Source organism: Homo sapiens, chromosome 1 (genome assembly GCF_000001405.40).
Source record: "Homo sapiens chromosome 1, GRCh38.p14 Primary Assembly".
Lineage (NCBI taxonomy): Eukaryota > Metazoa > Chordata > Mammalia > Primates > Hominidae > Homo > Homo sapiens.
The window spans coordinates 71,830,365-71,858,279 of NC_000001.11; the positions used below are offsets into that span (position 1 = coordinate 71,830,365).

The following is a 27,915-nucleotide window of genomic DNA, read 5'->3' on the forward strand; positions in this document are numbered from 1 at the left end:
GTCACAACTATTCAATTCTGCTATTGTTACAAAAAAACCAGTCATAGGCAATATGTAAATTAATGGGAGTGGCTGTGTTGAATAAAATTTTAATTAAAAAAAAATAGGCCGTGCGTCAGACTTGGCCTACAAATGGTACCTTGTTGATTGCATTCTTGACACTAGTGATAAACCAACAACAACAAAAAGAAACAAAACTCCCTGCTGTATTGTAACTTACATACCAGATATGTAAGTAAAGCAGTTAGTTCAATGTTAGTAAGAGTCAAAGAAAAAAACAGAGCCAGAAAGGAGGATAGGGAATAAACAGGTAGGTCTGAAAATACCCATTTCATTAGGATACTACTCGACTTTGTTCCACATTGAAATTTCCCTCTCTCAGCCACTTTGTAAACTTTGTAAAGTTTAGATTTTAGTTGTTATAATTCAATCATTCGTTCAGTAGATATTCACTTAGTATTCATTACATGCCATAAATATTAGTATTTATCACACGCAATACATAACACCATGTGTTATGGGGAGACACAATTATATAAGCCAAATTTCCTGCTTTTAAGATCACACCATAGTTGTGGGAAAAAAAAAATGTGTACCATTTGGAGATAGGAATTCTTGGAATATGTTAAACTGTTAGATTAGAAAACGTTTCTAAAGACCAGCTCCCACATTTCTTAATGTAGCCTTCAACATGAGTCCATTGCATGAACTAATGAAAATAGAAACTATAGTAGCCTTCTTTGACTGGATGGGTCTATGAATAAAGATGTAAACAGAAAAACAGTATGCTGTCTTTTAGGACAGTGTCTTTTAGGACAGCCAGTTGTTGCTGGGACAGACACTGGAAATTTCATGTTCATTCAAATCACCAAGTACTCAATATCACTGTGTTTGGCACTATCAAAGGATCAAGGTGGGAATACAATGTGGTTTCTGCCCCTAGGGAGTTTTTAGAGAGAAAAAAATTGCAAATAAAGGTGTTAGATTGTTTGAGTGGATAAAAGCTACCCTAGTTTGGGGTCATTCATGTTACTCATTATATTCCTCATCTTTACATACACAATGTATTGTTAAACTTCTATTCTGGTTTAGAGTTAAGCATTTTAAAAAGGGAAAAATTTATACCTGACATGTTTTCATGGAGAACCTACTGTGAGTCAAATACTTCTGGGCACATGGGGTTATAAGATCGGGCATGAAAAATTGTTTTCTGTCATCAGAGGGCTCATTATTGTGTGTGAGACACAATCCTGTAAGCAGACAATTACAGCACAATGCAATAGTTGCTGTGACATACTATTAGTGGATGCTACAAAAACACAAAGGATGTGAATATTGGCTAGAGGACAGTGGGAGGATCGAACTCATGTTGGTCCCTGGGGATGTAGGAGGATTTCTATAGAGAGGAAAGACCAAGGATATTTTGGGCTGAGACAAAAAGAAAAAAAAAAAACGCAATGAGGCAAGAATGAGCATACTGCTTTTAAGTGTGGTGTCTATGGAGCACTGTGGGCTGAGTGGGAGCCCTGGTTTGAAGGAAGTAGGGAGTACTGACTAGAATGCATTTTTTTAATATGGTAAGAGGAAACAACTCTGGGTTTTGAACGGGGAGTAACAGAATGAAAGTAGGACTTTAGGAACACTGGACTGATGTAAGTACGCAAGATGGATTAGAGATGGTAGAGACTCGAGTGAGAAAAATCAACTGAGCACCCCTGCGATAATCATAAGCCTAGATTAGTGAGAGAGTAATGGGAAAGGAGAGAAGGGCAGAAGCTGAAAGACAGTTCAAAGGAGGAAATGACAGGACTCAATGACAGACTGAATACTAGGTTTGAATGAGAGGGAAGAATAAAAGATAGCCTGGAAGAATAGTGATACCGGTGACAGAATCAACATAGCACTATGAACTGACAACCAGACGATCAAAGTGAGACACCACTTGTGCCATATGTCTGAAAGCTCTTCATCAGAGATACAAAGCTGAAAGGAAGGTTGTCTCTAGATTTTTCTTGCTCAGGAGTATATGGGTAAATGATGAACTCTTACAAAAAGAAGCCCTCTAAGGCACTAGCTGATGTGACCTCATGTGTCAAACCAAATTAAAGGCCCATAGAGTGAGGGTCAGCTCTGATGTCTGTACAATTTAGAACAGCAAATAGACATCAGGTTCTCCTTGTGAAGTCTCATCCAGGTCACCTATAAACCATAACAAAACATCAAATAACAATAGTTGGTAGGTCCTCAGTAAAGATTTGTTGAATTGGTCTGAGGATAGGGGAATTAACAAGAAGTCAGTGAAGAGCTGGTCTACCTCTTTAACATTGGACAGAGTGGAGAAATAACAACTTTAACAAATCACAAAGTCAAGGCCCAATTAGGCAAAATAGAATGGCCTCTTCTGAAACTCAGGTGTAAAGTGCATTGCCATGATTACATAAGGAATCATGGAGAATTTCAAACAGGGAAGCCTGTTTTATACAGAATTTGTTTCTCTACTGAAATGGTTAGCTTTGACTGTGTAGTGTTGACTACAAATTACATGTTAAGAACAGATAGTATTATTAAACATCTAGCTATCTATATATTTGGGAACTCAAAATGGAAAGAATCAGTTATCTGTGATGTCCTGAAGTAGCACTGATACATAGAAAGAAAAACATCATGAAAAATAGATCCATAAATCTAAAGTTGTGATACAGAGAGAATACATTTTTATGACTTCATTCAACCAATAAGGAAAAATTACGTTTTCTTCAATATAGGCTACTTTTTTTTGAGATCATCATAAAATAAAATTGCTACTTTTTGTTATGTATTTACTTACAATAATAGAAATATAAGTCAAATGCATTATGAACATCATTTTTTAAGTGAGAAAGGTACTTTTTGCACCTGGCAGTAACAAGATGTTAGGACTTTGCTTTGCAATAGTAAAATAGAAAAGGATTTTGTAAAATTCTGAGTTAGACACTATTGTTTCCTAAAGGGAAATACCACTAACTACTATCAGTGGTCTCTTCTCAGGAGTTAGAAAGGAAAAATTATATACTGTGAAAGAAGAGAAAATTTATTTCTCCATGGTTGGTCAAGACTAGAATTCTCTACAGAGAGAATCTTTCTGGGGGGAAAAAAGTATTTTTATGAGCTGGAAGCAATGGAGAAGGAAGCAGAGAAGCAAACAAAACAAATGACAAATGCATTTTGAGTTGGTGGTTCTAGCAGGCTGGTACTTAGTGTGATTCCCTATTCTGTCTCCAGCAATACAAAAGCTGGGTCAGTCTTTCAGCACTTGACTCGGGCTTCTGACTGCACTAGACCTGATGTTGCAAACCAGCTGCACCAAATTTATATTGTGTTTTCTATAGAGTGAGCTGAAGCAATTTGGTTCCAAGTGCCATTCTTCATGTGCTTAATTATTTTGACATTATTTTCAGAACTTTATGTTCATTTCCCTTTAGAACCAGCGCACTCTCACTGCAGCATAAGCATAGCATTTAAACTAGGTTTCCAATTAGTCTGCATCTTTATGAATAACTTGTCTTGCTCTGCCTAAATTATTCAGCTTAGAGTTGTTTCTGAAATCATGGATTATTTTTAAATTAATTGCATAATAGTGCCAAGCACAGGGCCTAGCATATGGCAGACAATTAATAAATGTTTGTTGAACAAATAAATGAGTTTCACTTCAGTCTTGGATTTTGGCCTACCTTTTCACAATGTTAACCAAATAAACTGCATTGTATTGGATGTGAAGCCACCTACATTGATACTGGTATTTGATTCATAAAACTTGCTTTGATTCATGGTTTAAGGATTTGAATTGGGAGTAAGAAGAAATTGGTATCTAGCTATTCACTTACTGGTATGATGGTTATTTTTACCTGTCAAGTTCACTGGGCCATGGGGTCCCCAAATTAAATATTATCCTGGATGTGTCTTGGAAAGATGTTTCCAGATGAGAATAGCATTTAGATCAATGAACTGAGTAAAATAAATTGACCTCCCCAGTGTGGGTGGGCACCATCCAATCCATGGAGGACCTGAAGAGATATAAAGGTGGAGGAAGGAGGAATTCACCACCCACCCCCACCCCCTGCCAACCATTTTTTTTTCCTCCCTCAATGGTTGAGCTGGGACATTTAATCTCATTTACTCCTGCCCTCAGACTGGGTTTTATACCATTGGCTCCACTGGATATTATACTTTCAGAATCAGAGTGACTTATACAACTGGCTTTCCTGGGCCCCCACTTTCAGAAAACACATTGTGGAAATTCTCAGCCTCCATAATTGTGTGGGCCAATTCCTACTGATTGTGCTTCTCAAGAGAATCGTGACCAATACAGCTAACAATTGTTTATGTTGTTCCCTTCTGAACAGGAAAAGACCTGGACTTAAAGTTATACAACTTGGGAGTAAATATTGGCTTCTAGCCTTGCTATGTTACAATAACAGAGTTTTGTTATTTTTGAAATGGTAATAATGCCTGCCAAACACCGTCGTTTTAAGATTTTAGGAGATCACACACACACACACACACACAGCAGTTATCTGTTGCTGTATATGAAAACACCCAACATGTAGTGACTTACTCACTTTTGCTCACAAGTTTATGGAACAGCTGGGCAGTTCTGCCAATCTGGACCAGGCTGGACTGATTACAGCTAGGCTTTTTTCCATGGTCTTTGCCTGGTTGTTGGCTCACTCACATGACTGACAGTTGGCTGGCTGCCAGCTACAATGATGGGGTTAATAGGGTTATGTGTTTCTATCTGTTTTTCTACTTATCTCATAGTATGGCAGATTTCAAGACAGAGAAAAATAAATGTCCCCAGTTCTCTTCAAAACAAAACTCTGAACTGGCATCATGTTTTTTCTGCCACGTTCTATTGGTGAAAGCAAGTCACAAGGGCAGCCAAGATTTGCAGAATGGGCAAACAGACTCTATCTCTTATCTGGAAGAACTACAAAGTCACATTGCAAAGTTTTGAGGACAAAGGGAGCATTAGAAAAATTGTACTCATTTTTGCAATCTACCATAATATAAAAAATTGTTAGGATATGCATAAGGGCAATAAATCAGATTTTTTGTTATTACTGTCCTGCAACCTCTCTACTTCCTTATTATACTTTTTCTTTCACTCTCACCTTCATTTTTTGTTTGCAATTTCATGGTTCTAACAAAAGAGGATGCTTAGTATTGATTAACAAAATGACTCTAGTTATTTCCTGTCAGTCCCCCAACCTATGTATATCAAGAAGTAATCACAAGGGATTGCTTTTGCAAATTTCTTGAATCTTGCAGTTTCTGAATCTTTCAGTTCCCTATTGCAACCAAGGAAGGTATAGTAGCATCATGGTTAAAGAAACAGTCTCTAGACTATTTTGTTTTTGAATTATGACTCTATCAATTTGGAACTATGTGACTTTGTGCTAGGAGGTTTATCACTTTGGTACCTCAGTTTTCTTGTCTGTGAAATGGAGTTAGTGAGATACTAAAAAGATTAAATGAGATTGTACACTATATATATGTATATATGCCTAGTCTATAGTATGTGTGTGTGTGCACATATGTGTCTTTTATATTTAAGTAATTAATTTGTTTCAGTGAGACATAAAATCATAGGAATTCTGGCCTCCCTGGTGATTAGCAGATAACAAGGCAAAGCTATTGCAGGGTGGCTGATCAGGCTCCCTCATTATCTCATACTGCCTCTACCCCCTAATCTCTGACTATGTACTGCATGTTATTGACTTTGGAGTTAAACCCAAATAGACAAAATCCAGGCATGTTAAATCTACACTTTATTTTAAAGAAAATGTTAGGCACATGAGAGGCATTTGGGAGGCTGAGGAGGGTGGATCACCTGAGGTCAGGAATTTAAGACCAGCCTGGCCAATATGGTGAAATCTGGTCTCTACTGAAAATACAAAAATTAGCTGGGAGTGGTCCCGGGTGCCTGTAGACAGAATTGCTGCTTGAACCTGTGAAGCAGAGGTTGAAGTAAGCCGAGATCGCATCATTGCACTCCAGCCTGGGCGAGAGAGCAAGGCTCTGGCTCAAAAAAAAAACAAAAAAACAAAAAAAACAAAAAACAACAAAATATATATGTGTATATATATATATATATATGAAGTCGGTACTCTTACTCTTAGCACAGGTACAGCTTGGGGAAACAATGAAACCTGCTGGAACATTATTTCTTCCTGTGTATATCAAGACAACCTAAGAAAGAATTGGGACTCCGGCGATTTCAGTTTTAAAACAGAAAGAAAAGATAATTCCTATAAAAAAAACTCACTCTAAACAAAATTACACTTATATTTTTGCCAGCATTTTATGTATGCAGTACTCCTTGCTATTGTTAAATAAAGAACAATAAACAAAACCTAACCATGATTCCTTAACTGCCATATATTTTTACCCGCTACTACACTTCTGAGAAAAAGCATATGGCGAAGTCAGACCTCATGACTAAATACCCTTCAGAGGCACATAACTACATTTAAAGACATTTCTAAGAAAGGAAGGAAGGAAGAGAAGGAGGAAGCAAGAGAGGAAGGACAGGAGGGAGGGAGGAAGAAAACAAAAAATCAGGAACAGAAGTTGTACCTCAATGTATTCAGCAAAATTTGAATTCTGCCAGACTCTTCCTTGTATTATTAGTATGTGAAACAACTAACTGATCTAATGCTGTTTACCGTCAAGTCACCTCTTCCTCTCACTTTGCATCTCTGACAAATACTAGCCTATTCACAAGTAACTCCATGATTAGCAATTCCAAGACAGCCCTGTGACCCTGTTTTCAGATTGCTTTTGAAGAGTAGCTGATAAAAATAGTAGAAATTATGACTATCATTTCCAAAAGGACTTCTCTATATGCCTGACACTATTCTAGGCATGTTACTTATATCATCCTCGTTCCTAACAACTCTCTGACAAAGTAGATATTATTCCTACTTTGCATATAGGAGAGGTTCAAGTTGGCAGCTGTTAAGAGGAGGATCTAGGATTCAAATATAGATCCCTCTCATTCCAGACCTTGTGCTTTTAGTGTGAAAATAACTTGAACACTGACATGGTATTTCTCTTTAGACTTTTTTTGTTGCCGTTAAAATACATTTTGTTGATGTTAAATACATTCATTTTTTGTCTTATCCAGAGCATTCAGTCACGTTTGTTGCCCTCTTGTTAACTCTCTCCACATTCTCTGCATCACTCTTTTAATAACTGGACCCTGATTGAACATAGCACTCTATCTACCCTATAATAAGTAAAGAGTAGATAATCTTATGTTTTCAACATGAAATGTTCTTTTAATATTCCTCCATTTACAATAGCAATCCCACCTCCCAAACCGCCATTAGCACAACCTTAATTAACATCTATTTAAAGCAGTAAAGCAAGGTCCATGAAATAGATATTGAGCTATTGTTAATCACTCACAATTGGGTACTCACCTAATTAGAACAAATACTAAAATATATAATCTAGTTCCCTTATTTCTTTCCTGGAAAAATCAATGAAAAGTACATTTTAAAAGTAAGATAAATTTGTATTCTTCCTGATGTTCTAACTATATTAATGCCAGATCTAAGACTATTAATTAAGACTGACAAAATGTATTTTTCTAAAAGTTTTATAATCCCTGATAACATCCCATTTGTTCACATTGTTTGAGGTACATTGAAAAAAATAAGATCTTATTATCCCAGTTTCTAGGGTCTATTGTTTTATTTTCATGCAAACATAGTACATAATTAAATAATGTATTTTGCCTAAAAGTTATTTAGAAAATCGTTAGTATACGCTTTTGAGAAAAATTTCACTTTTCAAGAAAATAAAATTGGATAATACAAATAACCCAGAGGTTAGACGCCAAAGGCAAACTGGCACTGCTCTGCCACATGGCTCAAATGCAGCATAAAATATGTTTTAAATATAACCATGTAAGAAAGCACATCCTTATATAATTTGGGAGCTATATATACTCTTTTGGGAATTAATTATCAAATTATAAATGATCTCTTTCTACAGAAAGATGCATTTAAACATCTATTTTAAAAATGATTAGGGAAAATCACTACTCGTGCCAAGCAAAGAACTCCTAGCTTTGACTAAGGTAAAAGTCATTGATACATTAAGGTGTTGATAATGCCATTAGAAAGTTCTTAGGTTTTAATAGGTTGCATTTAGTTTACTGATCAGCTAAGTAGGAAATATAAAGGCATATTGCAAGTCTTTGGCAGTGAGTGTGAAGTGCTTTGTTTCATTCAGAGTAGTCTTGAACTCTACTCTGTTAAACATCTTCATAAATGATATGCAGTTGGTTGTTAATAACATTATTTAAATTCTCAGATGAGAGAGTATATCAAGCAATAAGACATCACATAATAGTACAAAAAGCCTAGAATAAATGGCCTGAAATTAATCAAATGAGATTTAATCTGGAACTGCAAAGGCCAGTATTTGATTAAAAAACAGATCCAATAAAAGTTGAAGTAAAATTAAAAATCAGTTTCAATAAAGAGATATTTTGAATAGTTAATATAAAGTTGATTTGATATTCTGTAATGGAGTTTGAGAAAATGTAAGCTGTTTTTAAAACAGGAATGAACTTGAAGTTCTTATAGTAATCATCACCTAGAAAATTTGAGTGCCAGCTGACCACATTGGGAAAGTTGAAATGCTGTGTGCATATCTGTGCCTCAGCAAAACTTCTATGATCATCAGACACTCATCCAATAGAAAGAACAAGGGGTCCCATGAAGAATCCTTGAAGATAATTGAGAAAAAAAAAAAAAGTACAGCTGGCTGAAAAGAGACCAGACTTTTTTTTTTTTTTTTTTTTTTTAAGACAGAGTCTCACTCTGTCAGCCAGGATGGAGTACAGTGGCATGATCTCAGCTCACTGCAACCTCCTCCTCCTGGGTTCAAGTAATTCTCCTGCCTCAGCCTCCCGAGTAGCTGGGATTACAGGGGTGAGCCACCACATCCAGCTAATTGTTGTATTTTTTTTTTTTAGTAGAGATGGGGTTTCGCCATATTGGCCAGGCTGGTCTTGAACTCCGGACCTCAGGCGATCCACCCACCTCAGAGTCACAAAGTGTTGGGATTACAGGCGTGAGTCACCACTCCTGGCCGAGACCAGACTTAGGATTAATTTCAACACATCCTTCAAAGGCACCAGGGCTTTCTAAAGAAATAATACAAATTAAAATTATTGAAAATAAAATCAAGAGAGCAAAAAGTAGTGGCTTAGATAGAGGAATATAATTTTGATTGTGATACAACAGGCTGCTTCTTCATTTGCAGAGTTGGGCATATTATTTGCAAATATTCCAGAGGATTTTATTTTAACCAGGACATTTAAACTACTCTTCATAAAGCAATCTCCACCCTTATTTCTGAAAAGATTTTACTATGTTTTTGGAGAAAATCTATTCACTTCAAAGTGCTTCTTTTGCAGTAGTCTTAGAGCTTTCACATTGTCATTCTTTGAAGGACATGCTGAAACTCGAGTTACATAATTACAGCTTTACAAAATAAGTCCTCTATTTTGAGATTCTTAGTGGCGATTTCTTCTTACTAGTATTAGAATAATGGAAACATAACATAGCTGCAGGTGACGATGTAAAATAGATACCAAACAATAATGTAATAAGGCTTTTCCATTTTTATCAAATGTGATTATATGCATTATCTCCAGAGCGGATTTCTCTTTTTCTGTCAATATAATTCCTGGAAGTGCTTGCTTTACAGGACTATAGAAGTGGGATCAGTTTGAGTTTCCCTATCATACCTGATTTAAGTGAATCAGTAAACATTGTACATCAAAAACATCTGTAGGATTATGAACAGTGAGCAAAATATAGTTCAACAGCTGCAAATATGCTTAGAATTGTGCTGCCATAAACACTCTAAAGTGTTCAGAATTACCACATCATTAGAGATATGTTAAAAGTAAGTATTTGTATGTGTTCCAAAGTTATCTTTTATTTCATCTCTAGAATTGAAAAAAAAAGATATATCTAATAAGTAGATACACCCAGTTATTGTGGTTCCTTCAAGGGTCTGTGTCCTTTGCCTACATCATTAATAAGTTTCTGTGGTATATCAGATGTGGAAACAAAAGCTTTATTCTCTTTCTCCATTGTTATACTACTGATAAATGGTTTTATATTCTTAGCTTAATTTTTATTTTAAAAATGTAGACTTCACTCTACTATATAAAAGTTATGATACTCAGAGTAATCAAAACCTAAAAAGTTCCAGTGGATAAATGAACATCTGGGAAACTTGGAATGCTATAAATAGTTTTGTGCCACAACAAAACCTGTGTCATGATTAATTTTATGAGTCAGGTTGACTGGACCGTGGTACCCAAATATTTGGTCAAACATTATTCCAGTTGTTTCTGTGAGAATGTTTTGAAATGAAATTAACATTTAATTGGAAATATTTTAAATAAAGTAGATTGCCTTTTATAATATAGGCGGGCCCCATCCAATCAGCTGAAGGCCAGAATAGAACAAAAGATTAACCTCTCCATGCAAGAGAGAACTCATGGCGAGCAGCCTTTGGTCTTTAACTACAACACTGTTCTTTCCTGAGTCTCCAGCCTAGCAGGCTACCTTGAAGATTTTGGACTTGCCAACCTCCACAATCACATGAACCAATTTCTTAAGGTATATCTCTTTCTCTCTCTCTATATATATACACATCCTATTAGTTCTATTCCTCTGGAGAACCTTGACTAATAAAACCTGCAGGACCATCAGGCAGTCACCCAATAGAAGGATCAAGAGATCACATGAAGAATCCTATGAGAAGAGGATAATATAAAACATGAATGTCTTCTCAATTTCTGCATAATAACATAATTTTCAAATATAAATTTACATATAAATCTATTTTATTTTCAGATGACGTTAGGTCTCCTAGGCATGGGAAAATATAGTTACTTGCTATAATTCCAGTATTCAATAAACAGCTTTTTAAAGTGTATAACCAAAAATTAAATTCGATTTACTAGTTCATTGCACATCATGTTGTCAAACCCCAAATTTGAAAGACCGATGCATAGAAGCATTTATCCTGTGTATAGCAACAATTATCTAGTCGCAATTGTCTAATCGCATCCTGCCTTTTCAGTTATGTTTGTACATATTTGTCCCCCACTGGGGACAAATACACTGTCATGTCAGTATAATGTGGTGGTTATGAGTACCCATTCTGCAGCCACACTGGTGGAAAGATTAGGTAGCCTCTCAAACCTTCCAGTTCCTCATCTTCAGAATAAAAAGAAAAATCTCTACTTCACAGCATCATTATAAGGATAATGTATGCAATGTTCTTAACACAGCATATCGTAGAAATACAATTCTTGCTTTTAGTCTCTTTAAAAGGCAAGGATAGTGTCCTAAAAGAAAAGAATACATTTTCTTCCCATAGATTACCTGGTTTAGTGCTTTTTATATTGTCAACTAGTTGGTAACTATTGACAGTAGTTCCCAATTATTGTGTGTTGATGATATGCTAGATTGAATTTTTAAAACTGTCTCAAAATTCCTTCAACGTAAGTATCTTCATTTTTGGATGAGGAAGCTGAGGCTCTGATCACACACTGCTACTTAGCAGTAGAGGCAGCATTTAATTCAGTTCTAAATAAAAACTGTGCTCATTTTGCCTTGCAACTCATTGTCATTGCCTATTAGATGATTGGTAATAGACATTTGTTAGCTCAGAAGTCACATGGGAAGTTCCCATTGATCATGATATTCTGTCCTTTTATTTCCTTTTCATGCTGCTTGACGATCTGGCTTTGTCACACTTTGGGAGCTAGAAGCCTGGCTATTCTGGCTTGTTAGACAGTGGAATAGAGTGAAAGGGAAGGTTATGAAAGTGTCTTCCCTGGTGATTCTTTTGAAGGGGAAATCCACTACCTATCCATTGAGCTTAATTTTTAGATTCATCATGCTTAGACAAGATACAAACTCATCATGGACAGCATCTATCTTTCAATGTCTGTTTCCAGGAAGCTGGAGATACATTTTGTTTGTTCTGAAGATTCTTTAAGCTCCTTAAGTCTAGGATCTTAACGAAATAAGGAGCTATTAAGAAATTTCTCTAAATCTTTAAAATATTTTTCATTATAGTTAGTAAATAAACAGTATAGATGGAGAAATGTCTTCATCTATACTGTTAAACATGTCTTCCAATTTTTCATAGAACACTTTCTTGCATGCATTTTAGTTACAGCATTGTTGCAGATTTTGTGTGAAAGGAAATCTTGAAAACATTATTCTAGTTCTAAATATTAATTCCAGTGGGCAGTGATTTCCTCTATTATCAAACACCTTTCAAATTCGAGGAAGTAAAACATTTGATTTCTAAGATGTGCCTAACAATGTTATCATTAAATTAACATCATTATCGTATATCTTAACTTAGCAAGCTCTGTTATGGAGTCTATAAACATCTTTTGCAACCAAAGAATCTGTTTTTCTCCAATACAGAATGTTGTCACCAAGTTAAAAGTGAAAGGACCCTATTATCATTGGGGAGATAGAGGATTATAACACTTTCCCATATTCAGGGTAATAGCACTATTTTTTAAAAAACTTAACTTCTTTGGGCAATATTTCTGCCTTTTTGATTTTGTGAAATTATTTTACATTTTTAAGGGAAAGTAATCATGGCATTGCCTCAAGTGTCACATCAGGTACATCCAAATGGCAAATGAATGTCGTTATAGTGCCCATTAGGGAACTCACTTTGATTAAAGAGGACATCCATGCCCAAGGACAGCGGCTGTCATTAGTCTCCAGGCTGCAGCAACATCCTATTTGTGGCAGGGGATGGAGAAAGGCTTGTCCTATTGCACAGAAACAGGGGCTCTCTAGATCTTTGGAGATAAATAGACTTAGCTATGGAAACAGAACATTAAATTGAAAGGCAAGCCAATAAAAACAAAGCAACTTGAAGTATATCTGGGTCAATTTAAAATAAGTCCATTTCCCATTAGGCAATAAGAGAACAGAAGTCGAGGCTATTGACTCCTGTGCACTGAAATGGTATCAAACCAGGTGATTTTTCCCAGTTACGTGCTGACTGAGACAAGTCCACTAAGCAAGGGGTTGTCAAAGGCCAGGTCTGTATCCTCTATCTGTTCCTAGTGTTAGAAGGGCTTTATCTCAGAACAAAATAGATTCTGAAACTTAAGTTACATTCTGTTATCACAGGAGACAGTTGATAACAATTGGGGTAGTAAAACATTCGTAATAGTTTTAAAGATGAAATGAGAAGAAAATAGTCTCATCAGTGAGATCCAAAATGAACTCCAAAGCAAGGACTTATGAAAATAAATTCTAGCTTAGCATTTAAAAAATCTGAAATTGACCTATTTTTATACCTCATTGTTTTTCTAATTAAAAAGGCATGAGATTCATTATCTATTATGAATAGAATCGCTCCATTAATTCAATATTCTAGTGAAATCTTAACATGTCTAATTGGCAGGAAATGTAAAGTTCAAAATTTGTGGACATGACAGCATGCTAGGGATATGAAATATCTCTCTCCCTACATTTGTTTCAGTTTCTCCAGAAAACCAGGCTAGCCTTCTTTTAATTGAACTGGAGAGGGAGGTAAAGAGAGGATGTCAGACCAATCCCAATGATAAGTGTCACATCCAATTGCCACCCTTACCAGAGGGAATAAAATTAGGTTAAGGGGACAGGTTCTGTATTTTTAAAAATTACCTGCCATGTATTTTTCCCCAAATGTCAGGTAGCAGCCTCTATTAGAGGTATACCATTAATCAAACTAATGAGAACTATGGATGTAACCATCCCTTAACAAAGACATAATGCCTCAATGGGGAAAAGAGCAGAATGCAAGAATTTTATGAAGTGGGCCTTCCTTTGTAAACACTTGTGTTTGAATCACACCATAGTGTCCAAATCAGGGCCTCCTGATCCTGACAACAGTGTTTAATGTTCCCTAACAGAGAGGGTCATAATACTGAATCAAAATCAGTTTTACTTATGGTTTTAATGGAAAAAATAACATTTGATTTGCCACAGTAAGGCATTTCAAAGCCATTCTTAATGACCTAAATCTTACTGGTGATCCTTCAGGTTTTGAAGAAGCTGCTGAAAAGAGAGGAAGTATTTGTAGGAAACTACAATCCTGCCAACAGTGTTCACATGGAAGCTGTCCTTGACCCGTTTGCACGTATTGAAACCACTCTGAGTTCTCCTGCTTTATTGTTCAATCTAGACTAGCAGGAATGGCATAAAATCAGGATACTACGCCTCAGGCTTGATAAGAAATTAGTTTCTCACCAGCCTTTTCAAACAGCTCAGGGTGACTTCAGTAGAAGAGAGAAGCAAAGAGTTTGGAGATTAAAGGAATGAGAGAAGTCAGATCACTAACACATGGTGACTGGCCTTGGCCCAACCCCAGGACAGAGATTGTCTTGTCTTCCTAGACATCCTGGTGGACATCCTTGAACAGACAGGCCTGCCCAGGGGGACTATCCAGGATATAGTCAAGAAAGTGCCTTCTATAGGAGTTCAGATTTGCAGACAGAAATTATTTCAGGTTTTGAACATATATATTAAAATGTTTTCTTAGTATGAGTTAATCTGAGGTCAAGGCAAATAGAGGTTTAATGTTAGGAATAATAGACAATGGTTCTTTTTCAAACCAATCAGAAATTGTTCTTAATAAATAATGACTTACATCATTTTAATTGCACAGTATGCAGTCACAAGGAAACATTTCCTGTGTTAATTTCTACATAGCGCTCAGAGAGTGTAGCTTAATTTTTGTTTTTATTTTTGATAAATAACTATAGAATTTTATATATCTACACAGAATATATTTCATAAATAAGTGCATAAATATGAAAGCATAAATAGTAACCAATTTGTGCATAAATAAGAAGGCATAAATCATAATCAATTTAATAAGTAATTAAAGTTATTATTATATTTAAAAATCAGATCTTGAGATGGGTAGGAGATGGTAAGAAAAAAGAAACAAAGTCCCACATAATGGACTCCATGAAGACTTTTGTTCTCAGGGGAAATCAGGCTGCCCCAATTTCTTCACCAAGTATCACCAAAATTAAGTAATACTAATGAAACTAAGTACTTAGAAATAATATTTATTGAGCACTGACTATCATGTCCTATTCTAAACACTTAACATTCAGCCAATTTTCACCACAACCCTACAAAGAGGTACTCTTCTTATCTCCACTTTTAAACAAATGAGAAAACTGAGGTAGAAAGAGAGTAAGTTGATCCAATTCACACAGCAAAAAGGACAATAGAGCCAGATCTATCTATCTATCTATCTACCTACCTACCTACCTACCTACATATCTATCTATTTATTTAGAGATGGGCTCTTGCTGTGTCACTCATGCTGAAGTGCAATGGCACGATCACAGCTCACTGCAGCCTCAAACTCCTGGGCTCACGGGATCCTCCCACCTCAGTCTTTCATGTAGCTAGGACTACAAGGGCATGCCACGGCACCTGGCTTTTTTTTTTTTTTTTTTTTTAAGAGATGAGGGTCTCACTATGTTGTCCATGCTGGTCTCAAACTCCTAGGCTTAAGCTATTCTCCCACCACAGGCTTCCAAAGCCCTAGGATTACAGGCATGGGCCACCACCCCCAGCCAAGAGCCAGATTTAAATCATGTGGTCTGACCCCAGGGCCTCTGTTATTCTCTCTCCTGCCAACCTGGAAGCCAGAAAGGTTGTTATTCTCTTCCTTACTCTAGGGCTGTCCTCTGAAGTTGAGCTGAATGGAAAGCAAGTTTCCCCCCCAACCTAATAAAAATTCTGCTCATAGAGAAGTGTTTAAATCTGATTCCTTTTCTAATACCAAGTACCTAGGAGTCCGATTAGCCACATCTATCTAACTCAACAAGAGGTCTTAACTACTTGTATGATTTATCTCCTTTGTTCTTCAGCACTACAAATACCCACCCACCCACCCACACACACACACACACACAAACACACACACAAACACACACACATGCAGGTTATGGAAGTAAAAAGATTGCTGACACATTTTCTAGGAATTGTTTCCTGGGGGAAAAAATGTGAATAAATAGTAAAGCTGACTCTCTCATCCTCTGGTTTCACTTCATCCCATACCCTTGAAGAACCCAGAAATTCCACACATATTACTTTCTAGCTGTTCTCTCTTTTCTTTACCACCCTATATATTGTCTTAGTCCATTCAGGCTGCTGTAACAAAAAGCCTTAGAATGGGTAACTTAGAAATATATCACAATTCTGGAGACTGAGAAATGCAAGATCAAAGTGGCAGCAGGCTCTGTGCCCGGTGAGGGCCTGTTCCTTATAGGCAGTGCCTTCTTGCTGCATCCTCACAGTGCGGAAGAGGCAAACAAGCTTCCTTGTGCCTCTTTGATAAATGCACTAATCTAAACCATGAGGGCTCTACCCTCATGACCTAATCACCTCCTAAAAGACCCATCTCTTGATACTGTTACATTTGGTATTAGGTTTCAACTCATGAATTTGCTAGGGACACAAATTTTCAGACCATAGCACATATTTAAACATTTAAGCATTGCAATGTTTTCTTCTCCCACAGTACTTACTCTCCAAAATGAATTCTTCTCTTTCTTTTCACATTACTACTCTGTATACCACTCCAATCAAATCCCCCCATCTCACAGTATAGACCATTTGACTCAAGTTGGCTTTGGATATCAAGTCAGAAGCACTGAGGTCAAGAATATTTTATTACACTGGGGAATAAGGCCTCATTTCATCCCCTCTGCTGTGTTGAGATGAACTGTTCAGACTGTTTATTGATATTTACTTAATGATAAATAGAAATTGCATATATTTACTGTGTACAACATAATGTTTTGAAATGCAGGCACACCTCATTTTATTATCTTCCTTTCATTGCACTTTACAGATAATGCATTTGTTACAAACTGAAGGTTTGTGGCAACACTGTGTCCAGCGAGTCTATCAGCACCATTTTTTCAACAGCATGAGCTCATTTCATGTCTCTGTGTCCCATTTTGGTAGTTCTCATAATGTTTTAAGCATTTTCATAATTATTATACGTGTTTTAGTGATTTGTGATCAGTGATCTTTGATGTTACTCTTGTAATTGTTTTAATTGTTTTGGGGCACCAAAAGCAGTGCCCATGTAAGATGGCAAGCTTAATCAATAAATGTTCTATATGTTCTGACTGCTTCACTGACTGACCATTCCCCAGTCTCTCTCCTTCTCCTTAGGCTTTCCTATTCCTTCAGAGACAAAAATATTGAAATTAGGCCACTTAATACCCTACAATGACCTCTAAGTATTAAAGTAAAAGGAAGAGTCACATGCTTTAATCAGAAACTAGATTGATTAAATCAGATTAAATCACTTTAAATCAGAAACTAGAAATGATTGAGGTTAGCGAGGAAGACATGTGGAAAGCCAAGATAGGCTGAAACCTAGGCCTCTTGCACCAAAGAATTAATCAAGCTGTAAATGCCAAGGAAACATTCTTGAAGAAAATTAAAAGTGCTACTGAAATGAATACACAAATGATAAGAAAGCAAAACAGCCTTATTGCTGATATGGAGAAATTTTAGTGGTCTGGATAGATCGAATAGCCACAACAGTCCCTTAAGCCAAAGCCTAATCCACAGAAAGGCCCTAACCCTCATTAACTCTATGAATGCTGAGAAAGGTGAGGAAGCTACAGAGAAAAAAGTTGGAAGCTAATAGAGGTTGGTTCATGAGGTTCAAGGAAAGAAGCTGTTTCCATAACATAAAATTGCAAGGTGCAGCAGCAAGTGCTAATGTAGAAGCTGCAGCAAATTATCCACATGAACTAAATAACATCGTTGATGGAGATGGCTACACCAAACAACCGATATTAAATGTAGATGAAACAGCCTTATATTGGAAGATGTCATCTAGGATATTCATAGCTAGAGAGGTCAAAACCTGGCTTCCGTGCTTCAAAGGAGAAGCTGACTCTCTTGTCAGGGGCTAATGCAGCTGGTGACTTTATGTTAAAGCCAATGCTCATTTACCATTCTGAAAATCCAAGGGCCCTTAAGAATTATGCTAAATCTATACCACCTGTGCTCCATAAAGGAAACAACAAAGCCTGGATGACAGCACATCTGTTTACAGTATGGTTTACTAAATATTTAAGCCCACTGTTGAGGCCTACTGTTCAGAAATAAAATTATTTTAAAAATATCACTGCTTTTTAACAATGTACCTGGTCACCTAAGTGCTTTGATGGACATACACAAGGAGATTAATGTTGCTTTCAGGCCCACTAACGAAACATCCTTTTTGTAGCCCATGGATCAAGGTGTAAGTTCAACTTTCAAGACTTACTATTTAAGAAATATATTTCATGGCCAGGTGCAGTGGCTCACGCCTGTAATCCCAGCACTTTGGGAGGCCGAGGCGGGTGGATCACGTGGTTAGTTAGGAGTTTGAGACCAGCCTGACCAACATGGTGAACCCCCATCTCTAATAAAAATACAAAAATTAGCCGGGTGTGGGGGCGCACGCCTATAATCCCAGCTACGCAGGCGGCTGAGGCAGGAGAATTGCTTGAATCCAGAGGTGGAGGTTTCAGTGAGCCGAGATTGTGCCACGGCACTCCAGTGTGGGTGACAGAGCAAGACTCTGTCTCAAAAAAAAAAAAAGAAAAGAAATACATTTCATAATGCTATAGCTGCCACAGACAGTGATTCCTCTGATGGATCTGGGTAAAGTAAATTGAATACCTTCTGGAAAATATTCACCATTTTAGATGTCATTAAGGGCATTCATGATTCATGAAAGAAGGTCAAAACATCAACATTAACCAGAGTTTGGAAGAAGTTGATTCCACCCCTCAAGGATGACTTTGAGGAGTTCAAGACTTCAGTGGAGAAAGTAACTGCAGATGTGGTGCAAATTGTAAAAGTACTGGAATTCGAAGTGGAGCCTGAGATGTGATTGAATTGCTGTAATCTCATGATAAACTTGAAAGATGAGTTTACTGTTACGGATGAATAAAGAAAATGATTTCTTGAGATGGAATCTACTCCTGGCGTAGATCTTGTGAACACGAAATCACAGTAAATAATTTAGAGTACTACATAAATTTATTTGCTAAAATGGTACCAGAATTTGGGATTAACTCTAATTCTAAAACAATTTATATTGGCAAAATGCTATCAAATAGCATTGAATACTATAGAGAAATATGTTGTGAAAGGAGGAAGGGTCAATCTATGTGGCAAACTTGCTTGTTTTATTTTAAGAAATTGCCACAGTCACCCCAACCTTCAGCAACCACCCCCCATCAACATGGAGGCAAGATCCTCCACCAGCAAAAAGGTTACAACCTGATGAAGGCTCGGATGATTCTTAGCATTTTTAGCAATATAGTATTTTTTAATTAAGGTGTGTACATTTTTTTAGATACAATGGTACTACACACTTATACTCTACAATATAGTGTAAATATAACTTTTATATGCACTGGGAAACCCATAAAAATGTGAAAATGTGCCACCAATTTATTGCAATATTTACTTTATTACAGTGGTCTGGAAACAAACTGGCAATGTCTCCCAAATATGCCTGTATGTATACTTTATGGAATGTCTAAACAAACTAATTGACATATCCATTACTTACATACCATTGTGTGTGTGTGTGTGTGTTAAGAACATTTATAATCTACTGTCTTTTTTTGTTTGTTTGTTTGTTTGTTTGTTTGTTTGTTTTGAGATGAGTTTTTGCTCTGTCATCCAGACTGGAGTGCAGTGGTTTGAGTTTGACTCACTGCAACCTCCACCTTTTGGGCTCAAGCAATCCTCCCATCTCAGCCTCCTGAGTAGCTGGGACTGTAGGCATGAGCCATCATGCCCGGCAAATATTTATATTTTTGTTAGAGATGGTGTTTTGCTATGTTTCCTAAGCTGGTCTTGAGTTCCTGGGCTCAAGCAATCCTCCCTCCTCAGCCTCCCAAAGTGCTTGGATTACAGCACGAGCCACCACGCCCAGCCAAATCTATTGTCTTGTCAAGAATATGTCTTAATTGTAGGTCAAAATAAACTCCTACACGGCCCTTTTGGAACATTTTATGCTTTACAAATTAAAATTTCTGCTAAGTAAATGAGTATGTATCAGTGATTGTATGTTATTCATTCATCTCATTTATTTTGGGCAGAATGATGAGAAATTATTTCTACATACTTTTGCTTTTTATTTTGTAATGCTTTTGTTTTTCTTGTTAACTTGGGAAAGAGAGCAGTTAAGTGGAAAAGATTTGGCATTGCCTCATTCAGATGCTCCAATATTTAAGCAATAATGTATCTAGGGAATACAATATTATTTATTATTTTAAGGTACCATTATCTATAAAGACTCTAACACTGGTTTTTGGAAATTTCCTCACTAAAACATACTTAAAAAGAAGCCCAATCCTGAAGCACTCAAGGCTGAGACTTTTTTGTGTGCTAGGAATATAGTTTACAGTAACTTCTGATTCAGGATTTAGAAAAGGGTAGTCTCATGGACCATGTGCCAGACTACCTGTATTTATCAAAATCATCCACCTCTGATAGTTTCAAGATGAGCGTGTGTTTCCTGTGGGCCTTTGAAAGTGCTGAGTTGGGCTCTTTGAGTAGAGAAGGATTTTTCCTAACAGATAGCTTTGGCTATCTACATGACAGCAAAGGAACATTTTGGCAGGAAACCACACAACGCAGCAGAATACCCTGGTTTGAACAAAATGTTTTTATGCAATGTGTTACCAGGGGAATTGGTTTTCATGTTGATATTACCGCCCACACAAATGATCCCTGGTTTATTTCCTAACCAGATGATTTTTTTCTTCCTAATATTTTACAAATACATCCTAGGTATGTTTTCTAAATAATTTACTGAACAGTTTTGATGCCTTATACTGAACCAAGAGTTTTGAGCACTGCCAGCAAGAGGTGTGCTAAAAATGCAAATTTTCTTTTAAAACTCATTTAATTTTTAAAATTATTTTTACTACAGTTATGCATAGCACAATCGTTGTATTAGGAAATAACACTTTTTAATTCATGTATTTCTAATTTCATTCAACACAATTTTATAAGCTCCAACTATGCACAGGGATCTGCACAATCAGCAACACACTGATCTTGTTTAGTAAAAGAGATTTTTAATGCAAGGTTAGACAAGAAAAATATGGGTAAAATACCACGGTAGCTGATTGGAGGAAGAGATTACTTCTCATGAAGAGGGGCAAGAGAATCATTACAGAAACTGTAGCATTTGAGTGGGATTTTAAAGTAAATTCTATTTACTTCTTTGTTTGCTCATTAAAAAAAATTATGTAGTATAGTAAACAGTTTTATTAAGATAGCAGACTCTATATTTAAACCGTGGATTTATACTCTAAGTTTACTAATTAATTAACAGTTTTTGAGTTTAGACAACTCATGTAATTCACTTCCCTTACTTGTAAAATGAAGGTAAAAATAGTTCCTTTTACACAAGGTTCTTGGGAAGATGTATATCCTATTTACATGTGTATTCAGGAAATAGCATAGCAAAGTATAAAGGGCACAGACTTTGGAACCAGAAAATACTGTATTTGAATTATAAAGCTATCCTTTACCATGTAGCTACTGACAAACATTTAAACTGTTTCATCTTTTAAGTGATTCTTACTTCCATACATCGTTGCAAGGAGTAAATACTAGGTATAGTCCCTTAAAGAACAGGCAGAAAGTCAATGCTACATAATAAGAGATTGCACTGGAGACAGACAATGGGACTACATGTCACAGGACCTCAAAATCCAGGCAACATAAAGTGGTCTAACTCTATAGACCAGAGTTGACAAGCCGGCAGCTTGCTTTTCATATTCTGTCAGAACTGTGTGAGAACAGCAGATACAAATATTTTGTTTGGCCACACAGTGTCTTAAAAGTTAGAAAATTTAGTATATTTTTTCATCAAACATTAAAAAACCCATATTTCAATATGAAAAATATGAAAACAATCAGCTATACCTAAGTGCCTTCTAAATCTTATCTGGAGCCTACGCATGCCACAATCTCTAGCACTCCTGATTGTCTTATTCTATTCACTTTACTTATTTTATTACCGACCTGGCCTTTTTAGGAACTTGAGTGTGCAACATTTCCAGACAATAGACCACAACTGTTTTGTTTTGTTTTGTTTTAACAGAGAACGGTTTGCACAGATATTTTCAGGAGTATTACACCTTTGTAATTTGCAGATTTCAATTAGAAAAAGACAAGACTGGAGGCAAGTGAACACAAGGTTTTTAGTAATACAGATGAGAGGTAAGTAGGTTTGAAGTTAATGCAGAAATGGCCAGGAAAAAAAAAAAAAGCTGATGTGAATGTTATTCCAAAGGAATAATCAGAAGGAATTTGCTAACTGACTGGAAAAAATGGACAAAGAGGAAAAAAAAGAGAAAGAATGGTAAAACTAAAGAATGGAAAACGCTTGTAATAGAAATAGGACAAACCAAAATATGTCTAGAGATCACAGAGATTTCAATGTGTGGTATAACGAATTTGGACATTTAAAGTTAAAGAAATTTCTAATAGTCATGAATCATGGGGAAAATCCATGTTGACCCTCAGAAATATTTGCAGGCTCTAATCAGTGACAATAAACTGTGAATTTTCAGGGAAAGGATTGGAATATTATATTCTTATATCTATTTGTGTAATTTCAGAGCTTGGTAAAGAGTATGCCCTCAGTGTTTATTGAATTAAATTACACGGAATATGCATAATTTTTATCAATCTTGAGAATGTTGGTATATTTTTACAGATGCTACTCATAATTTGCTACAATTAAAAGGTAATAATTTGCCATTTTCAAATATACAGCATAATAAATTTTCAGATACAACTGTGTTCTTGTTATTCCACGTAAAGAGATGACATATAGGATTTAATGTGACATTGCTTAATAATTATGCGATTTATAAGCTATGTTTAGAAGTCCATTAAAATATATATGTTAGTGTTGATATTTTTACAAAGACAATTGTGTCCAGTATAATTGAGCAGAATTCTTCCAAACCGTGCCTTTGTCTTGAAAAATGCCATGAGCTATGTAGCACACTAGGGATTTGCTTCATTCAGAGTAGTTAAAAAAAAGGCAGAAATTAGATACTCTCACTAGAGAAAATTGAGGCTGACTGAATGTATATTGATTCTTTTTAATTCATCCTTCTGTGCCTATGAATTTACAGGCTTTCTGTCCACAATAGACAGATCCAGAAAGGGTCAAGAGACAGTAGAAGAAAGCAGCCATAAAGTTTTTGTTATCATAAAGTTTCTGACATTTATTTACAAAATTTTCAAAAGTTGTGCTGTTATTTGGACAGGATTACATTTATAAAGCGGTTCTCACTTTGGTTATTAGCATTGCTAGACGTCTGTTTTAATATGAATGTGTTTAGTTCAGAGCAAAATGGATCAATTATGAAATGTGCAAAACAAATTATTAGGCTTGAGTTGAAACTGGTCGTTTTAAACCCTCAGCACAAAGAGCAGAATAATTTCCAGGTGAAATGTTGTTGATTCTGTATTCTTGTTTGTTGAGGATTTGATTTTTATTAAGCATGTTGCATTAAAAAAGTTAATTTAATGTCATGTATATTTACTTTTACACATTTTGTTCATTTTGCTTTGCCCTATACCTTGTCAACCAGGCAAACCTATGTTCTCTTCGAAACTTTCCTTAAATCCTCTTCCATCAAAATATTTTTGGTACCTTTTACATACTTCTATTTCTACATTTAGAACACTGACTGCAAATTGCTCCCCCTGTGAGCTCTCAAATTACTTCCCCTAACTATGTGCTCTTATACTTCGGGCCCAAATTATATTAATTTCTATATATTCTCAGAATATAGTACAGTGCCTAAAATATAGTAGGTCCTCAATAAATAAATTTTAAGCAAATTAGTGAGTAAATGAAAATACATTTTTGTACCCCACATCTAATACAGCACCTGATATTTAGAAGATATTTTTTAAAAAAACAGATTGAACTCAATACTGTAAATCAATTGGTCAGTCAAAAGGTGATGATAATTATAATCGTATTAGTCCACTCTGATGCTGCTATGAAGAAATATTCGTGACTGGGTAAGTTATAAATAAAAGAGGTTGAATTGACCCACAGTTCCACACTGCTGGTGGTGGGGGCGACCTCAGGAAAGTTACAATCATGGAGGAAGGCAAAGGAGAAGAAGGCACCTTCTTCACAAGGCAGTAGGACAGAGAGAGAATCGGCGCTGAGCAAAGGGGGGAAAGTCCCTTATAAAACCATTAGATCTTGTGAGAACTCACTCACTATCACGAGAAAAGCATGGGGGTAACCGTCCCCATGATTCAATTACCTTCCACCAGGTCCGTCCCAGGACACATGGGGATTATGGGAACTAGAATTCAAGATGAGATTTGGGTGAGGACACAGCCAAACCATATCAATAATCTTAGGTATCAAAACAATGTCCATCCACACCAAGACTCAAGCAATTGTGGGGCATTCTGTAACAGCACAAGGTCAACTATATAAGTCTCTGAGTTCACCTTTCTGTTGACCTGTGAGTTTTGATGCTTGAATTTAAGATCCTCTACACTTCTTATCCTTAAATACTCCCCAAACAGTATCACGTTTAGGCATGTAGAAGTTCTATAAATCACTTTCATTGCCCAAAGTCCTTCTAGAAAAATCTAACTCTGTTGTATATTTCCCCATAAGCAGTCTGTCAGGTCGAACTGCAACCCGTTTTATTTTCTTTCAATAAACTCAAATCCCTGACCTGCCAAGTGGTTTTCCCTGATGAACTATGAGGAAACTTCATTTTTTTTCACCAGTGAGATTATTTGGAAGACCCTTAATAATTTTTTTTCTTACAAAATGGAATAAATGAATCTGAAGTCTCCTCTCATCCTAGGAGAAAAGCAGTTGATTTATGAAGCAGAAATAGGCAACTCAACTCTGGAGGAGGCTGCCATAGCCATTTAACTTCTAGAAGAAAAATAGGAAGTCCTTTATAGGACATGTATATTGGCATTTGGAAGATGTTGAAAAATTAATTGAAAAAGAGGTTTCATACCGAGACCTGGAAAGTATTGAGAACAATAAGCCTATTATTTTGATTATGCTTAATTATCCTTACGGTACAGTAACCATAGCTTTGAATTATGCATTCTTAACAGTCTTAAAATTAATAATGTTCTGTTGAATTTTCATTACACTTTTCTTTTAAGGTGCTCAAAGCATTTTAGAGAATATTAATGTCATCATGAAAAAAAATCATTGTTTTAATAGATGCTTTGGGTGGCAATAAGGTAAAATTATTTCTATTAGGAAAGGTTGAATTTAGAAAAAATATATTCTGAGCACCTTATGTTGGAGTATGTTAGAAATTTCAGACTTAAATATATAATTATGGACCGTGATTCTAGTAAGCATACATATAATTGCATTCTAATCTACAGCCATACCACACAACTCCTCTGCCTGCCCTCAAAAATGCCTTCTTACAGTTATGTGTCTCAGCATGCTTTATTTGCTATGTAGGCAACACTTCTTAATCCCATTCCCATGAGCCCTTCTGACTGAGATTAAGAATGGGGCAGGAAAAAATGTAGATATTTATTAAGGGTCTATGTTCAAAATATGGAGGCCAAAATAATGAGTGAAAAATAGTGTCCATTTTCAAGGAGTAGATGGTCTAGTGATAAGACAGTCATCTATCCAAGTAAGTGCCCTACCAGTCGATAGATACATAAGGAAATATAAGTTTATAAGGAGCCATCTGTACAGAATTGATAAATTATGAGAAGCAGCCTCCGTTTGAGGAGGTGCCATAAAGGAAATCTTCATGAAAGAGTGAGTTATCCTATGAGTAAGCACATGATGGCAGATGAAGTGTTATACCATTCACTTATTTATCCATTAATTTCACCCATTTTATTTATTTATTCATTCATTTAACAAACATGTGTTCTCTATTGTGTGTCAGATACAGTGACTAGAAAGATATAATTCCTTCTTTAAAGGAATCACAGTCTAATATACCTCACAATATGGAAACAGAGAGGATTTTCACCTAACAGCTCTTGGCATAGGTAGGAGAATGTTTTGAACAGGAAGTGAAGCAATAGTGAGATAAACAGAATTCCAGCATTATTACAAATATCATCTGTCTACCCATCCATTTATTCTTTTGTCCATGTTAACATTTATTGTCTGTCATTATGCTAATTGTTGCATAAAAATACTCTACAAAACCCCAAGTTCGAGCTCAAATTTCAGCTGCTCTATGAAACATTCAGGATCTAAAGGAAACCCTTCATGCCATATGAATTATTTTCTTTTTTAACAGTGTCAACCTCACTAGGATCTGCTGGCATATGGTTCACATTATCATGAGTTAAGTCAAGATATATATGTTTTCATGTATCGTATTTATGTTATAATAGAAGAAGCAAAGGACTTTGGTGTTCAAAGAGATGGATTTCCATTCTCATTCCTGTATTTGCAGGCCCTTTCAGCTTGGGCAGGTGTCCCAGACTTAGTTTCCTTGTATGTAAAATGAAAAGAGCAAATGATATCGCACTGAGATGACTTGCAAACAGGAAATCATAGTGAAAATGACAGTGGTTAGTGATTCTTTCCATTCAACTTCTGAGAGACTGTAAAAGTCTAATATTGCATTTGAATACAATATAGACTTCATTGCTGTAAAAGAGAACATGAGTTTTGGGAAGAGTCCTATGTTAGAACTCAAAAGAACTACCCTGTAATCTTGGTTCCAAAACTGTTTGTTGTAATTTTCCTGAGCCACCATTTTCTCATCTGAAAAATCTGACCACAAACAGGCCAGGCACTGTGGCTCATGCCTGTATTCCTAGCACTTTGGGAAGCCAAGGGAGGTAGAGTGCTTGAGCTCAGGAGTTTGAGACCAACCTGAGCAATATAGTCAAATCCTATCTCTACAAAAAATACAAAAAAAAAAAAAAAAAAAAATTAGCTGGGCTTGGTGGCACACACCTATAGTCCCAGCTACTTGAGGATCTGAAGTGGGAAGATCATTTGAGCCCAGGAAGTCAGGTTGCAGTGAGCCAAGATCACGCCACTGCACTCCAGCCTAGGTGACAAAGTGAGATCCTGTCTCAAAAAAAAAAAAAAAAAAAAAAAAAAAAAATTGAACCACAATCTTCCTTGGATTCGTAAGAGAATGTATGTGAAAATGCTTCATCAGTAATAAAGCTCTACAGAAATATATGGTGCTTTTATTATCTTTTGACTGTGATATATTAATTCTATTTAGCTTGGCTTCAACAAAATATACATTTTCTTTTTGTCTCAAATATTGTATAAATTCTATACAACCCTACAATTTCTAGAGAATCTAACTGATGGGATTTGTTTTTGAAAGACTTGCTATAGAAAGCCTTTCTTCTTTCCTTTTTGCAAAGCTAAAGAATCTTGCATGATTTCCTTTCCCTGGGGATATTCTCCAGGGCATTCAATTTGGCAGGCTTCACTTTTCTTTTCAACTCTCTAACACCAAGTGTTGCAATTTGGCTTTCACTTTCTTCTACCCTAATTTCCATTTTCCTAAACATATTTTCCCTGGTGTTCTATTGAAGCGGTTATCATCACTGGTCACTCTCTGCAGCAACACAAACACATTTTTGACTAGTTCATCCTTTGGGTCTATAGCCTAGAGAGCTACTATTGAGACATCCTTCTCCTACACTTATCCAAAGCTCACAGTGAAATATGCTGTTCTCATTTTTGTTCTTCTTTTTAAACATTCCTTTC

The 27,915-nt window shown here is 36.1% G+C and overlaps 1 protein-coding gene and 1 long non-coding RNA gene across 5 annotated transcripts in view; both read right to left on the reverse strand.

Moving 5' to 3' along the window:
* Positions 1-6,648, reverse strand: part of NEGR1-IT1 (NEGR1 intronic transcript 1) — a 42,781-nt gene extending 36,133 nt beyond the window's left edge. Inside the window, exon 1 of the long non-coding RNA NR_046218.1 lies at positions 6,616-6,648. This is a non-coding gene — a long non-coding RNA (NEGR1 intronic transcript 1). The remainder of the gene's footprint in view (positions 1-6,615) is intronic.
* NEGR1 (neuronal growth regulator 1) overlaps positions 1-27,915 on the reverse strand; it is an 886,597-nt gene that overhangs the window by 434,422 nt on the left and 424,260 nt on the right. The window lies entirely within an intron of this gene.